Below are 17,079 nucleotides of genomic sequence, written 5' to 3' on the forward strand. Positions count from 1 at the left end.
ACAGCCCGAACTGAGGGCCATCCTACGAAATAACCCACCTGCGTTCCTCAAAAACGTCAAGGCCACGAAAAGACAAGGAAGAACTGAGGGAAGATTCCAGAGGCTGGACACAAGATCTGGCACTGTCCTTCCCTAGCCCCCAGGCCCCGCCCCCAAGTCCGCCCCCATCGTCCTCGACCCCGCCCCCTCACCCCGCCCCCTGTTACCTCTCACGGTCCCGCCCTCTCAGCCCGGTCCTCCAGGCCCCGCCCCCAGCCCCGCTCCCTCTCATAGTCCCGCCCCTCGTCCTTTCCCACACTTTCCCTGGCAGCCCCTCTCACCGCCCTAGGATAAGAAACCCGCGCTGGGGCGCTGTCCAGGAAACCTGTGCCAGCACAGCGTGGGGAATCAGAAACTAAAGCCCAGGCTCCGAGCGCTTAGGCTCAGGCCCCTCATCGTGAAAGGGGGAAACGCAGCCTGCCCTACAGGACTTAATGCCACCGGCGGATGAGGGAGCAACAACGTGCCCCTCGCTGGCTTTTGTGGCTAAGTCTGTTCCATCACAAGGGGTGTTTAGATGCCTCCTTCAAGGCAGGGCCCCCTGTCCCCCCCCTTATCGTGCCAATGAAGGTCATCTGTGATGACTCTGGGGCATCGGTCTTGCATTTTGTCCCCCAGATTCCGAAAAGGAGGGCTTTTCATGGTGCCGAGTGCCAGCCCTTGCTGTGGCTCGGCACCAGGGCAAGTGCAACTGGCGCCATGGCCCGAGCCAGGCTCAATCCACTTCCCTCTGCTTCACTGGAAATCCGTCTTTTCCTAATAAAAACGCTAGCATGTGACTAACGTACTTTCTCAGGGGGGGAGGGGGGGAAGGTGGAAGTGCTTTACTTAGGTATTAACCATGAGTTTTCAAAAAGTTGATATAAGGAAATAGCCTCAGTCCAGCACTGCAAGTTACTGCTGAGTCCTCAGAAATCTTCTAGAACCTACGAGGATAAACAAGAGGAGTAAGAGTCACTTTGCCTGCAGCCTCTTTCTTGGGAAGCAAGATGAACAAATCCTGCCCTCCCTTTGTTCCAGTCTCTGCTCTAATGTGGCCTCTTCACCAGGGCTCCCTGACTCCCCATCTACCCCAACCCCTGCGCTCTGTTCTCCATAAACCTTCTCCCCCACCTCCTGCCTGTCCCCTCCTCCCCAACCTCGCACCAAAGCCACAGAGGCAGCAGCCCCCTTCAGTTCTCTGCTGTATCCCCTGTGCCTCCAGGAGGGCCTGGCGAGAGCTCAACATCTCCTAATGACTCAGTGATTTACTCAACCTCCCGGTGGAGCAGTGCCACCTGCTCAGCCCTTGCTAATGCCACCTACAGCAGCAGAGCATTTGCCAGCAGGGCACACATGAAGTAAGCCAGGTCACCCCAGGAGAGGCATGGCTCACCTGGGGAGGAGCTTGGTCTCCTGAATCTGCTCAGAGGCAGTGTGCAGGTGAAAGGCAATGGGTGGAGGCCCCTCAGTCAAACTTTCCTCCTTCCCCTCCTGCCAGGCTCTGGGGCTGAACAATGCCAAGGTCATAACAAATGGCTGAACCCACCCTGACTCCTTACAGATTGGTCATGCAAGTTTCAGTGCAACGATAACGCCACTGCAGGGGAGACCCTGCAGGTGCCACCTGTCCTTGTGAAAGGAGAAAGCAGGGCTTCCTGTGGTTTGTTCACAAACCCTTCATAACCTCCCCACCCCCATTAGGTGAGATACTGCCCACTTGTGCAAAATATTCCAGTCCATCAGAAATGGTTATTTTGAATGCCTCTGTGCCGGATGATAGGAGCACTGGCACTGGAGATGGAAATCCCACTGAGATTTTAAGAGTGCTTGTCCCAGCTGGGAAGTCTGTCTACCCCGGCTGAGTGAAGGGACAGTGGAGGTCATACTGGAGGCGGACTGCTGGCACTGCCACCACGCCCCCAACCCCTCTGAGCTGTGATTTTCTCATCTCTGAAATGGAAATGGCTTTGAGTGGTTTTGAGCCTTAGCTGGGATCTTATCTGTACAGTATCTGGGAGGTACTAGATTTAAATGCAATCCTGGTCATTATCAAATATGACTGCCCTGCTGAGGACCCAGCGATTTTTCATCTGTAGCCAGGACCATGTGTCCATGAAGGGCCACGGGGAGGCTGCGGGAAGAAAGTCCAAGAGGAGTGGGCTGAAGGGCAATGGGAAATGTTCTGCCAGCTCTGTACTTATTTATTTTTTAAAGAAAGAAATATCTGCTACAAACATGGCCAAGGAAACCTTTGTACCATCTGGGTGGGGGTTGCTCAGGTGCACGTTGTCATGTTATTCTCTGGGCATTTACGTAGTTTTAGAGTGAGGGGGCCGAGGAAGTGTAGACAGCAAGTGTCAACCCCGAGGAGAAGTCTTCCCCTGAAGGGGAGCCCAGAAATGGTGGGAGCTGGAGTGGAATGAAGGGTCATGGGGGGCTTTAACAATGTGACCTTCTAGAAGGTGTTTACACACACAGGTGGGGGCGACCCACAAGGAGGGGTACAGGAAGGTGCAGGGGGATACCTTGAGAAGGCTGGACGGAGACAAGGAGGAAGGCTGCAAAGACACAGTGTGACTTTGGTCTGGGAGGACATGGCTCGGGGAAGTGGCTTCTGAATGTAAGAGCTGGTGTACTGCCGGGCGAGGCTCTGTTTACTCAAAGCCCTATGTCTTGGGCCAAAATTAACAAGCAAACCCCGCAATGAAATGAATGATGTGTGGACCAGTTTATCCAGAAGAAACTGCTTGTTTTGTGTATATATTTAGAGCAGACGACTCAAACTCTCATTCCCACAGCTACATGTGGCCCACATATGGGCTTGGTTGGAACCTTTTGTGAAAACTACATTTAGCTGCCATTATTAACCAAGAGGGAGATTATACTTATGGCTTCTCTTGAAAGCCCTCAGGATGTGGGAACGCTGGCTGGTGTCCTGGCACAGCTGCAGGTGGCGGCGGGTTCCCACATGTGCCCTGACAGCTCCCTGGGACCTGCCTTTGCCCGGCTCCTAGGGGCACCTGTGGGCCCCACCTGGGGTGGCACCTGCATGCCTGAAACTCTCCATGCAGGAGAATCAAACAAGCCTGCCAGCCAAAGCACAAGCCGCCCAGCCTTATATGCAGAAAGGATTAAAAGCCACAACCACTCCTTCCTGCTCCACCCTCCCACCCCCTCGCTCCACTGCCACTGGAGGTCCTGGCCTGGGTCCAACTGGCCATTTCTGGGTGGTTCAGCTGAGAGTCCTGCTCTGGCTTCTCAGGGATACTCTCAGGTCAGATGCAGCCTCCTGCCCCTAGCTGCAGAGAGCACAGGTAGGAGGGCCCAGCTGAGGGTCACCTCAGTCCCATCTTGTGGAACGTCACCTGCAAAATGAGGACAATGATACCCCTCACATCTGCCCCACAGGCTGGTGTGAGAGCCTAGTGACACCATGCTTGGAAGACCTTTGAAACCTATTGTCCTCTGCTTCATCATCACTATCCGCAGGAAGGTGACAGGGCTGGCTTGCAGGAAATGCTGGAGGTCGTCACAGCCGACCCCTCTCCTGGGCCAGGGTTCCCTTTCCTCCGGGTTTCTAGCCTTCTTCTCTCCCAGGGGCTCTCCTCTGGGGACACTGAGAGATCCTCCTCTAGACTAGAGTCCAGGAAACAGAGCTGGATCTTTAAAGACAGTGATATTTTTCTTTGTACTTTCTTTTTTAAAAATCGAGATATAATCCACATACCCTAAAATTCACCTATTAAAGTCTGCAGTTCAGTGTTTTACATATAGTTCCAAGACTGTGAAACCATCACCACTACCTAATTCCAGAGCACTTTGATCACTCCTAAAAAAAGCCGGTACCCATTAGCAGTCACTCCTCATTCCTCCCTGACCCTGCCCAGCTCCTGGCAACCACAAATCCACTTTCTGTCTCTATGGATTTGCCTATTCTGGGCACTCTATATGAATGGAATCATTCAACGTGTGGCCTTTTGTGTCTGGCTCCTTTTGCTCGGCGTCATGTTTTCAAGGGTCATCCAGGTAGCGCAGATCAGGACTTTACTCTTTTCTATGCCTCTGTAATATTCCATTACATGAATTCATCAGTTGATGAATTTGGGTTGTTTCCACTTTTGGCTATTGTGAATAGTGCTATCAGTAAGACATTTTTTCTCTCTTTCTTTCTTTTTTCTTTTCTTTTTTTTTTTTTTTGAGACAGAGTCTCACTCTGTCGCCTAGGCTGGAGTGCAGTGGCGCGATCTTGGCTCACTGCAAACTCCACCTCCTGGGTTCAAGTGATTCCCCGCCTCAGCCTCCTGCATAGCTGGAACTACAGGCGCCCGCCACCACGCCTGGCTAATTTTTTTTTTTTTTTTTTGGTATTTTTTAGTAGAGATGGGTGTTTCACCATGTTGACCAGGCTGGTCTCGAACTCCTGACCTCAGGTGATCCACCTGCCTCAGCCTCCCAAAGTGCTGGGATTACAGGTATGAGCTGCCGTGCCCAGCCAACATTTTTTCTTTTTAAAGTGAATACAAAATATGGCTAGGAAAAAAGGAAGCAAATTCATTAACTTGTTCATTTTGTGTTTGTGGGAGGGGATACAGACTTTTTCTTTAATTTCTTCATTGTCCGTGTTGTGTTTTTAATTTTCTAAAGACCAACATAGCTTATTTTAAAAAAGAGAAAAAGGAGAATGTGCCCAGGGTCACCCAGCCAATACCAGGGTGCCTCAGTCCAAGGTCTCCCCAGCTATGGCCAGTTCCAAGAGTCCAGCCTCATGGTTACATCCTTGGCATTTCTGCAGCATCACTAATATTTTCATTTTCCAATGGCACTGCTGGTTATCATTCCATCATTTAGGACATATGCATATTTAAGCTGCAATTGCAAATAATGGAATCATAGGGTATGTCTCTAATGCTAACCGTTGTAATTAAGAGCAATAAAAAGATCACAAAATGGAAGAAAGTCGTATCAGAATTCAAACAGTGGATTTTGTCAACATTGTCGGGGCTTTACTGTGAAAATGTGAGCACACGCCCAATTGTTTTTAGAGTTGTCATTGCAGTTGTCATTACATGATTTATAGTCCAATCGCATGTGTTGATGTCCTAATTCAAGGTGGTGCTGGTCAGATACCAGGAACGCTTGTCGCTTTTGCCTCCTGCCAGGCCACCCTCATCACAGGTCATGGGGTTGCTGATTTTTTGTGCAGAATGTAGGGTGTTACTAGTTAGCCCTGACCTGGTTAGTGCAAATAGTCAATTAGGAGAACAAAACCAAACAAAAACAGAAGAGCTGCAATGCAGACCCCGAATTATCCTGGCTGGACACAGACAGCAGCCAGGGTCAGGCTTTTGAATCTTTTGATATTTGCTTCTCATTTTTTACCACTGGCAGAAAAGATACCCTGGACCCGCAGCCACAGGCCTCACGCTTAGAGAAAGACCCCAGGCCCAGACTGATGGGTGTAGGATGTCCTGGAAGGAAGACCTGTGGGACTAACTTGTACGATCACTGATCTCTGACCGTTCCGAGGAGAAAAGCAAAGGAAAACTGGGCTGGGTGTTGGATTATCTAATTCTCTCACCCTTCAGAGAACTACCTTCACAGTGGTCATAAACAAGGGCTGTCATAAGCAGATAACTCCAGCTAAGGCATCTGCTGGACCTGAAGAAAAGGGTGGGACCACTGGGGAACACCTGGGGGCTGTGGGGAGAACCATGGGGCATCAGACCAGGCTGGGAGGAAGGGACGGGAGGAGAGGGGGAGCGGCAAGGTTGGCCTCTAGCCCCTCAGGTGGAGCTAGCAGAGCAGGGAGCTCCTGCGAGGCATCAGACTGGATGCCTGGAGCACCTGCTGGTATCAGACTCCACTGCTCCCCATTTACAGAGTCACATGGAGATAAGCCAGGCAGGTGCTTCTAACACAAGCTGCGCCTTGCAGATGTGTGCAGCCCCCTGCCCCATCGCAGAGGGGACCCAGGCACAGCCCGGGCTTTTTGGCATCATGCTCTTTCGAGGGGTGGTGACCAGGGACATGATGTGCCCTGTAAATGGGGGAGGCCCTGGCTTCTGGGTGCCTGTGGGTGCCTAGGTCAGCATCCCCACCTCTCCCAGCAGGGGCTCCAGGGTCTGAGTGGAGCCAGCACTCCTCCCTGTCTCCTCCCCTTGGGCCCTGCTCCTAGGTGGAACCTGGCCCAGAAACTTGCTTCTAGAAAGGGGCCCACAGATCCTGTGCCAGGTTCTTCAAAGCATTTCTCCCCTGGTCTAAGGGAGGTTGTTAAAAGTGTATATATCTGACAACCTATGCAATGTGGAGAAATATTTGCAAATCATATATCTGATAAGCAATTAATATTTAAAATATATTAATATTTACAATACCTTACAACCCAATAACAGCAAACAAATGAACAAACTGATTTAAAAAAGGACTTTACACATTTCTCCAAGGAAGATGTATGAATGGCCAACAAACATGAAAAGATACTCAACATCACTCATCTTAACTAGGGAACTAAAAATTAAAACCACAATGAGATACTATCTCATGCCCATTAGGATGGATACTCTGAAAAAACAGGAAATAACAAGTGCTGGTGAGGATGTGGAGAAATCGGAAAACTTGTTCATTGCTGGCAGGAATGTAAAAGAGTACAGCCACTGTGGAAACCAGTATGGCAGTTCCTCGAAAATGAAACACAGGATTATCCTATGATCCAGCAGTTAAGCAGGTCTCAATAGGGATTTTTTTTTTTTTTTTTTTTTTTTTTTTTTTGAGACGGAGTCTTGCTCTGTGCCCCAGGCTGGAGTGCAGTGGTGCAATCTTGGCTCACAGCAAGCTCCGCCTCCCGGGTTCACGCCATTCTCCTGCCTCAGCCTCCATGTAGTCCTGTAGCTAGGACTACAGGCCCCCATCACCACGCCCCGCTAATTTTTTTGTGTATTTTTAGTAGAGACGGGGTTTCACCATGTTAGCCAGGATGGTCTCAATCTCCTGACCTCATGATCTGCCTGCCTCAGCCTCCCAAAGTGCTGGGATTGCAGGAGTGAGCCACCATGCCCGGCCTCAATAGGGACTTTTACACTTGTGTTCATAGCAGCATTATTCACAATAGCCAAGAGGTAGGAGTAAGCCAGGTTTTCATCGACAGATGAGTGGATAAACAAAATGTGATCTATCCACACAATGAAATATGATTCAGCAGGAAGGGCATTCAGAACATACCACAACAGGGATGGACTTTGAGGACATGGCGATAAGTGAAATAAGTCAGTCACAAAAGGACAATTGCTGTGTGATGTGCGGTACCAAGAGCAGTCAAACTGATAGAGACAGGAAATGGAATGGTGGCCGCCAGGAGCTGGTGGGAGGGAGGAATGGGTAGTTTTTCCATTTTCTAAGATGAAAAGAGTTCTGGGGATTGGTCGCACAACAATGTGAATGTACTTAACACAATCTGTACATTTAAAAACTGGTAAGATGGTAAATTTTATGTTATGTGTATTTTACCACAATTAAAACAACTTTTTAAGAAATGCAGCTATCTGCGCTTCACTCTAGTCCTTGTGAGAGGTGCAGCCGACTGGGCTTCTGGGTCGGGTGGGGACTTGGGGAACTTTTCTGTCTAGCTAAAGGATTGTAAATGCACCAATCAGCACTCTGTGTCTAGCTAAAGGTTTGTAACGCACCAATCAGCACGCTGTAAAAACGGACCAATCAGCACTCTTTAAAATGGACTAATCTGCTCTCTGTAAAATGGACCAATCAGCAGGATGTGGGTGGGGCCAAATAAGGGAATAAAAGCTGGTCACCAGCGCCAGCCCTGGCAATCCGCTCGGGTCTCCTTATTGGTTGTGGAAGCTTTCTTCTTTTTGTTCTTTCTCCCTTGGCAATAAATGTTATTGCTGCAAGCAGAAAGTGTCTGGGTTGGCACCACCTTTAAGAGCTGTAACACTGACTGTACGGTATGTGGCTTCACTCCTGAAGTCAGCAAGCCCACGAACACACCTGGAAAGACGAGCAACTCTGGATGCGCCACCTTTAAGAGCTGTAACACTTGCTGCAAAAGTCTGCGGCTTCACTGCTGAAGTGAGCAAGGCCAAGAACCCACCGGAAGGAAGAAACGTAGGAAACATCTGAAGGAACAAACTGCGGACATGCCACACTCACGGACTAGGATGGGCATTTCATACTAAGCCTTTTTGGGATTTGGGGGCCGTCGTATGAGATTGACTGAAGCGGCGGTATTCGTCTTCCTGCTACCTGTGGGAACGTTCCCAACCATGGTATCAAACACCTGAACGTTCTTTCTGCTGGGGGGATGCGTCAGAGGAGGCCTTTGTACCGGGGCGATGCGATAAGCCCTGCTGCGGGTATTGACATTTGGCCCCCCCGAGCGGGAGATCAGTGTTTGCCTACCAGAAGTCTGGTGGCAGAATTGCGTGGAAGCTGCTGGCGCCTCTGTGAGGCAGTGGGGCTCCCAGCACTTTCTTGGCTGATGGGCAGTTCTAGATTTAGGGTGAGGCAAGTGAGGCACTCAAATGGGGGTATCAGAAATCCAGTAATTAGGATAAGTAACATTTAATGCCATATTTTTAAAAAACAAAAATCAATACAGAAAATTCGTGATGAATACAGTGTGGAAACTGAAGACAGGCTGCTGCTGTTTGCCTTCTGGTGTTGCATTATTGTGCAACAGGAGTGGTCATTTCTAGGTAGTTCGTAATTCTCTGACCATGTGGCCAGCGTGTCCCCCACTGGGTGGGTTTCTGAGGGTTGGCAATGGTGGGCCAACATTGCCCGGGAGGGTTTATATATAGTTATGTTTTTTTGGTTGTTAACTTTTCCCACTTGGTTCAAAATCCGGGAGGCTATCTTGGTAAGTATCTATGAAGTATACGTTGTTTCTTCCCTACAGAGTCCAGTAGGATTTGGCTTGATGCCTATGACAGGTCATTGGTGACCATGGCCTGCTGACCTTAGTGCTGGCCCACAACACTGCTGGAGAACACTGGGGAGGCCTGTGTGCAATAGCACATTCCCGGGCAGCGGTGGATGGGGGGCCGAGACAGGCCTGAGCGGCACCGTTTGCTCTGTAACTCGAGGAGGCCCAGGGTCACTGGCTCGGGAGAGTTTGTAATTGATGAGACGGGTCCAGGCCCAGCTACCCTGGGACGGTTCACCCTATGATTGAGGAAGCGTCAGCTCCAGGGCCGACACTTGGATGACCTCTCCAAGGCCTGGAGCTTGCTTTAGACTTGTAATAGGTTAGTATCATTTTCCTCAACATGGTGTCCCCAAAGTGCATAAGCTTTTGGGCCCCAGAACACCGCGGAAGGCACTTCTGCCTGCCCTTGTGAGTAAGGGGATAACTGTGCCATGTGGCGCACAGGGAACTGATGTCACCTGGGGCAGAGGATCCTGGGTTGGCCGGGAGCACCGTGTGGGGGTGGGAAGTGACTACGGTGTGTGTGTGTTTGGTTTTTCTTTGCTTAAAATTTAAAACAAATGAAAAAACCCTAAACTAGTATGTGCTCAATGGAACAAATTAAAAGTATACGGAAATATTGAAACAAAAAAGTGATTATCTTTTTTTCCTCTGCAACCCTAGCCCCTAGCAGTAACCCCCATGAACACTGGTGCGTTCCCTTCAGCTATTTCTTCCTGGTTCTCAGCACACATGCTCTCGTAAAGGACTTTTTAAAAGGAAACTTTAGCAACATTTATGGGAGTCTTTTTGAGCCATTACACAGACAGCTTCCTCACCCTTCAACCAGCTGCATGGTGTTCTCCGGTGTGGCTGTCCCCGGGATTCTTGCTTTCTAGAAATGATTCCATGTGGTATTTTCCATATGAAACTGCATCCTGGGGCTGGGCGTGGTGGCTCATGCCTGTACTCCTAGCACTTTGGGAAGCCGAGGCAGGCCGGTCACGAGGTCAGGGATTCAAGACCAGCCTGGCCAACATGGTGAAATGCCATCTTTACTAAAAATACAAAAATTAGCCAGGTGTGGTGGTGGGCACCTGTAATCCCAGCTACTCGGGAGGCTGAGGCAGGAGAATCACCTGAACCTGGGAGGCAGAGGTTACGGTGACCTCAGATTGTGCCACTGCACTCTAGCCTGGGCAACAGAGTGAGACTCCATCTCAAAAACAAAAAAGAAAAAAAAAAAAGAAACTGCACCCTGGAAAAAATCTTCCCAACAAGTCTGAATGGTGCTGGAAAGCTTTACTATTAAGGCCATTTCTTCGAGTTTAAGCTTTGAAAGTGGCTCTTTTTTTAAAAAAAATACAGTAAACAGTGTGGTGGAAGGAGAACTTGGGCTTTAGACGTACCTGAGTCAGCTCCCAGATCCACCATTTCTTATCTTTATGACCTTGGCCAACTTACTTAACTTTCCTGAGTCTTGATTAGCTTGTCTATGACATGGAGTAATGAGGCTGATTTCTCATGGTTTCTGTAAGGATTAAGTGTGATTAAGTGTGTAAAACTTCAAGCCCAATGTCTAGCAGCGATTGTATTCAGTAAACAGTTTTGAAGTTTCTTAAGCATTAGCTGATAAAAAAAAGTGCAACGAGGGTAATAGTTCTGCTTCTGTTTCAATGCCTGGGATCTGTTGGGTAGGTTGGGTGGACTGATGACATTGTCTGCAATTCCCTCATCCATGGCCGAGGAAGCAGCAGGCCAGTGGGATGGCAGAGCTGAGAGTGAAACCCGGGCCTCGCCTGCTGTGCTGGAGATCGGACACAATGAGACAGAGATGCTTCACTCCAGAACTCACAGCCCTAACAGTGCTGGACGTAAATCTTGGTTTGTGTTTTTCCAAGGCTTTTGCAAGTATTTGCCCACTCTGCCCTTTGTGGACGATGTCACTATCCATGTTAAATGGACTTCTGGGGCTGCTGGGGACCAGCGTGCACATGTTAAGTCAGTAAGCGCCTCTCAGATCTCAGCACCACCTGTTTAGCAGGTTGGCCAGTTAGCTGCAGTCGGCTCTGAGGGATGGAGACCCAGGATGGGGCAGATCCGAAGGGCAGGGAAGGGCACGGAGGGGCACTCCTGAAGGGCTGGGCTTGGGAGCAGCAGGGGTTGTTCCTGGGAGGCTGACCGGGTGGGAGTGGTCCTACAGAGAAGAATAAGGAGTGGCACTTGGTGGTGAGGGCGGGAGAACCCCCCAAAGAGGTTCACATGTGCGCTGTGTTCCTCTGGGGCTGTCCTGACCCAGTGTGGTCTGTGGTGACCAGTGACTCATGGTCAGTGTCTGGGCTGCTCATATATTTATAGATGAACGTTCCCACACATCTCACAACTCAGCTTGTAAAACTTGGGAGGATTATGGGAAAACAAAACAAAACAAAACAAAAAACACCTTCTTCAAAAGTTCAGTGGGGCCTTTGTAACCTGGACCACTTTGAATGTCACACAAAAAGCCCAGCATGCATGTGGCTCAACTGTTAGCTTGCAAAGCCCTCTTACGAGGTGGGCTCTGCTGGCTCCAGATATGTCAAGGGGACTCAGCCCTTCGGAGCTCCCAGGTGGGCCCAAGCCCCCATAAAGTGGTCTAGGAGGGGCCGGGATGAGGGAGAAAGTTTTTCTCTCTGGACTGAGGAGGCTCTTGAGGGGTGGGGTGGGGTGGGGTGGGACACTGGCTTAGCCCTGAAGGATGAGAGGATTGGTCCAGGCAGGAGCTCTGGGGAAAATGCTCTTGGGAGTGGGAACAGCAGGGGCAAGGCAGAGTGCAGGGTCTCATTTCTTAACTGTGGTGACCACCGTGACGGTCCCACAGAATAAAGGTGTGGTGTCGGTGCGTTGTAAGTCTGCAGAGACCACCAGCTCTCCTGGTTTTACGAACGAAGAAACTGGGGCTGTGGATGAGTTAGGGTTTTGGTAGGGGCTCTGGGAGGCGAGTGGCACCAAAAGAGGAGATGGAGGGTCACAGTGGAGCCACCAGCCCAGGCCGACCACGCGGCCAGGCAGCCGGACCTGGACCCCCAGCCCTGTCCCTCATTACTCAGGGTCTCCTTTGGCAGATTCAAAATGTTTTCTCCAAAATGGGCATTTGCTTTTGAGCCTTCCCCTTTCAGGAGGACAGAAAACGATTTCTCGTTGTCTCAGGAAGTGGAGCAGGCATATCCTCCACAGCCCAGCACTTCCACACTGAGGTTTACTGGAAATATACTTGTGCATGTATGTATCTTCCAGGAGACCGCACTGTTCATAAGCACTCAACACAGAGCCGTCTAGATGCCCAGCCGCGGTAGCATGTACAAGTACATTGCCGTATAGTCCCGCAGGAATATCACACAGCAGCGAGAACAGACAAACTGCAGCTACCATATGGGTGACTCTCCAAACACAGCACAGAAGAAAAGAAATGAGTCATCAAAGATACACACAGTGTGATTCCATTTGTATAAAGTTCAAAAGCAGGTGAAGCTCAACAATGCATTATTTAGAAATACAGATGAAGTTCAAAATAAAACAATAAGGGGCCGGGCACAGTGGTTCATGCCTGTAATCCCAGCACTTTGGGAGGCTGAGGCGGGTGGATCACCTGAGGTCAGGAGTTCGAGACCAGCCTGGCCAACATGGTGAAACCCTGTCTTTACTAAAAATAAAAAAATTAGCTGGGTGTGGTGACACACACCTGTAGTCCCAGCTACTCAGGAGGCTGAGGCAGGAGAATTGCTTTAACCTGGGAGGCAGAGGTTGCACTAAGCTGAGATTATGACACTGCACTCCAGCCTGGGCGACAGAGTGAGACTTTGTCTCAAAAAAAAAAAAAAAAAAAAAAAAAAGATTAAAAAAGCTCCCAAAGAATCCACAAAAAAGCTACTAGAGCTAATAAACTAATATAGCAGAAGTGGAGGGTGAAAGATCACCATACAAAAATTGGATGTATTTCTGTACAGCAAAAACAATTCAATTTATAATAACATCAAAAATCAGAAAGTATCTAGAAATAAATTTAACCAAAGAGGTGAAGGCCTTGTACACTGAAAGTGACAAGACCTCGCTGAAAGAAATTAAAGAAGGCATAAATAAATAAATGGAAAGACATCCTGTATTCATGAATTGCAATGGGCTAAATGGACAGAGCAATCTGGTTTTTTTTTTTGTTTTTTTATTTTGAGATGGAGTCTTGCTCTGTTGCCCAGGCTGGAGTGCAGTGGCATGATCTCGGCTCACTGCAGCCTCTGCCTCCCAGGTTCAAGTGATTCTTGTGCCTCAGCCTCTGGAGTAGCTGGGACTACAGACATGTGCCACTATGCCTGGCTAATTTTTTTTATTTTTAGTAGAGATAGGGTTTCACCATGTTGGCCAGGCTGGCCTCCGACTCCTGACCTCAAGTGATCTGCCCGCCTCAGCCTCCCAAAGTGCTGGGATTACAAACATGATCCCCGCACATGGCCGACAAAGCAATCTTGAAAAAAAGAACAAAGTTAGAGGACTCATATTTTCTGATTTCAGAATTTCAAAGCGTCAGTAATCAAAGAAGTATGGTACTAGCATAAGGACAGACATGCAGGCCAGTGGAGTAAGATTGAGATTTCAGAAATAAGTCCATATATCTATGTCCAAGTGATTTTTAGCAAAGGTGCTAAGACCATTCAATGGGGGAAAAGACAGTCTTGTCAACTAATAGTGCTTGGAAAATTGGATATCCACATGCAAAAGAATGAATTTGGACCCCTACTTCACACTAGCTATAAATATTAACTCAAAATGGATCAGACTAAATTGTAAGACCTAAAACCATAAAACTCTTAAAAGAAAATATATGTGTGAATTTTCATTATCTTCATGATCGATGGATTTATAGATATGATACCATAAGCATGAACAAGAAAAGAAAAAGCAGGTAAGTTGAACTTCATTAAAATGAAAAACTGTTCATCAAATTCATCAAAGGACATTATTAAGAAAGGAAAAAAACCCACAACCTATAGAATGGAATACGATATTTGCAAATCAAAATATGACAAGGGTCTAATATCCAGAATATATAAAAGAACTCTTCCAACTCAACAACAAAAAGACAACCCGATTAAAAACTGGGCAAAGGACTTGAATAGACAATTCTCCAATGAAGATATACAAATGGCCAACAAACACATGAAAAGATACCCAACATCTTTAGACATTAGGGAAAAGCAAATCAAAACCATGATGAGGTGCCACTTCATTCCTACTAGGATGATTATAATTAAAAACATCCCAAAATAAAAAAATAGTAACCAGTGTTTGCAAGGATGTGGAGGAATTGGAACCTTCAGACATTGCTGGTGAAAGTGTAAAATGGTACAGTCACTTTGGAAAATGATTTGGCAGTTCCTCAGTTAAATGTAGAATTACCATATGACCCAGCAATTTTACTGCTAGGTATATACCCAAGAGAAATGAAAACAGAGACTCAAATAAACATGTAGCATTGCAGCACTATTCATAACAGCCAAATGGTGGCCATAGCTCACATGTCCATCAGTGGATAGATGGATAAACAAATTGTGGTATATGTTATACAAACAAAAGAATATTATTTAGCCACATAAATGAACGAAGTTCTGAAGCATGCCACATGGGTGAACCTTGGAAACGTGATGCTAACTGATAGAAGCCAGGCATAAAAGGTGACATATGTATGATTCCATTTAGATGAAACATCCAGAATAGATAAATCCATACAGACAAAGCACAAACTAGTGGTTTCCAGGGGCAAGGCCACAGGGAGAGGAAATGGGGAGGAACTGCTTAATGGGTAGGGGGTTTTACTTTGTAGTGTTGGAAGTAAGGACAGAGAGACAAGGTAGTTGCATGACCTCATGACTGTACTAAATACCACTGAATTGGTCACTTGAAAATGGTCCATTTTATGTGATACAAATTTCATCTCAATAAATTATTTAAAAATATGGCTGGGCATGGTGGCTCATGTCTGTAATCCCAGCACTTTGGGAGGCCGAGGCGGGTGGATCACCTGAGGTCAGGAGTTCGAGACCAGCCTGGCCAACATGGTGAAACCTCGTCTCTACTAAAAATACAAAAATTAGCCAGGCATGGTGACAGGCGCCTGTAATCCCAGCTACTCGGGAGGCTGAGGCAGGAGAATAGCTTGAACCCAGGAGGCAGAGGTTGCGGTGAGCTGAGATCACACCACTGCACTCCAGCCTGGGCGACAGAGTGAGACTCCATTTGAAAATAAATAAATAAATAAATATAAAAAATATGTAAACCTCAAAACTAAACTAAATGAAACATAAAGAAAAGCCAGGGGCCAGGCGCAGTGGCTCACACCTGTAATCCCAGCACTTTGGGAGGCCAAGGTGGGTGGATCTCTGGAGGTCAGGAGTTCGAGACCAGCCTGGCCAACGTGGTGAAACCCCATCGCTACTAAAAATACAAAAAAATTAGCCAGGCGTGGTGGCAGTTGCCTGTAATCCCAACTATTTGGGAGGCTGAGGTAGGAGAATCGCTTGAACATGGGAGGTGAAGGTTGCAGTGAGCCGAGATAGCACCACTGCACTTCAGCCTAGGTGACAAGAGCAAAACTCTGTCTCAAAAAAATAAAAATAAAAATAGAAAAGAAAAGAAAAGAAAAGAAAGAAGGAAGGAAGGAAAGAAAAAGAAGAAACGAAGGGAAGGGAAGAAGGAAGGAAGGGAGGGAGGAAGGGAGGGAAAAAGAGAGAAAGAAAGAGCAAAGGCAGGAACGAGCCAGGCAGAAGTCAGGCAGTGCTGCCTCTGGGAGGGAAGGAGTGCAGTGGGAAAGGGCCCCATGGTAAAACACAAGGATCTGCTTTATCATTCTCTAAACTATGTGCAGACATCTTATACACTTTTTAAAATGCTTTATTTAGCAATAAAACATCTTAAAAGAATAAACAAAAACAGGAGAGAGAAGCAGAATCTTGTAGCTTCGGATCCATGTGTGTCCCCATCTCCTTCTCCCATCACCGGGTCTACCCTGATTGTCTGGGAACCTGAGGATTCCAGCAAGGATCTTGGGGCACCTCAACAGCTCCCCTTCCTGCTTTGGCCAACATCACCTGGCCAGCTCACTCCGAAAAGCACAGCAGTTGGGAAGGTGTTGTGTTAAGGAGCTCCCCTCATTGCCTGAGTGCCTGGTCTGGGTTTCAGAGGCTAGGCAGGTGCAGCCAGTGTCTGCAGGAGAGATGCGCAGAGGCTCAGGGCCAGCCTCTTGTGCCTGCCTGGTTCCCACAGGTAGTACCCTCTCCTTTCCCGATGTTCTCTGTCCTTTGCTACCCATCCAGGTCCCTGCCCTCGAGCCTCCTCTGGCAGTGCTCCCATGGTCCAGGGAAGTCCCTCACCAGAGTGCTCAGGCACTAGGCCTGTCAGGTGTGGGCATCTGGGGACCCAAGCCTCCTGGCCCTCAGGGACTGTGATGTTTGCTGGGGCCACCAGGGTGGGGAAAGGGTGCACGCCAGCAGGAGTGAGGGGTAGGCGGGTGAAACCCTAGGCATTCACCACAGCTCAGCGTGACGGTGGAGGCTGCCAGCACGGGAATCAGACTGCCGGGCCCCTTTGTTGCTCTGCTCTTTTTCTATGATAACGTTTAATGAATGATCCACATTCATGAAAATTAGCCAAAGAGCAATTTTACAAATAAAACAATTGGGGTCTTTTCTGAGTGTTTTCTGCTTATCTAGACAAGGTGTGTGTGGTTGATTTGCTTATCTGCCCAATCCAGGCCTGCCCTCCAGTGGGAGCAGGTAGCTGTCACCCACCCACCCACCCAAGACTACGTCCACCAAAGGCATTGGCAGGAATCACCACCCTTTGGGCCATGGAACTGAGCATTTAGGAACTATGGAGGGTATCCAGCCCAACTCTTTGCTTTTACCTCTAAGGGAACAACGTCCAAACCCCAAGGCAAATTGGTGGCCGGCTTGGCTGAGTACTGGCTTGCCTCTCAGAGCAAAGGGTGCATGCCTGTCTTTGACCCAGCACTTTCACTTCCATGGATCGATCACCTGGAAATACTTTTGCATGTAAATAGGCAATGTATGGATGCTTGTTGCAGTGTATTTTAAGCTAAGTGAAAAATT

The 17,079-nt window shown here is 48.3% G+C and overlaps 1 protein-coding gene across 4 annotated transcripts in view; it reads right to left on the reverse strand.

Annotated features, from left to right (window-relative positions):
* Positions 1-17,079, reverse strand: part of TRPM1 (transient receptor potential cation channel subfamily M member 1) — a 160,096-nt gene that overhangs the window by 79,409 nt on the left and 63,608 nt on the right. Inside the window, exon 2 of one of the 4 annotated variants that reach the window (NM_001252024.2) lies at positions 880-965. The exons of the other annotated variants lie outside the window; for them this stretch is intronic. Within the exon in view, the coding sequence (NP_001238953.1) occupies positions 880-882 (3 nt within the window). The 5' untranslated portion in view covers positions 883-965. The remainder of the gene's footprint in view (positions 1-879; positions 966-17,079) is intronic. 4 annotated transcript variants of the gene reach the window in all.

The sequence above is a fragment of the Homo sapiens genome, chromosome 15 (genome assembly GCF_000001405.40).
Source record: "Homo sapiens chromosome 15, GRCh38.p14 Primary Assembly".
Classification (NCBI taxonomy): Eukaryota; Metazoa; Chordata; class Mammalia; order Primates; family Hominidae; genus Homo; species Homo sapiens.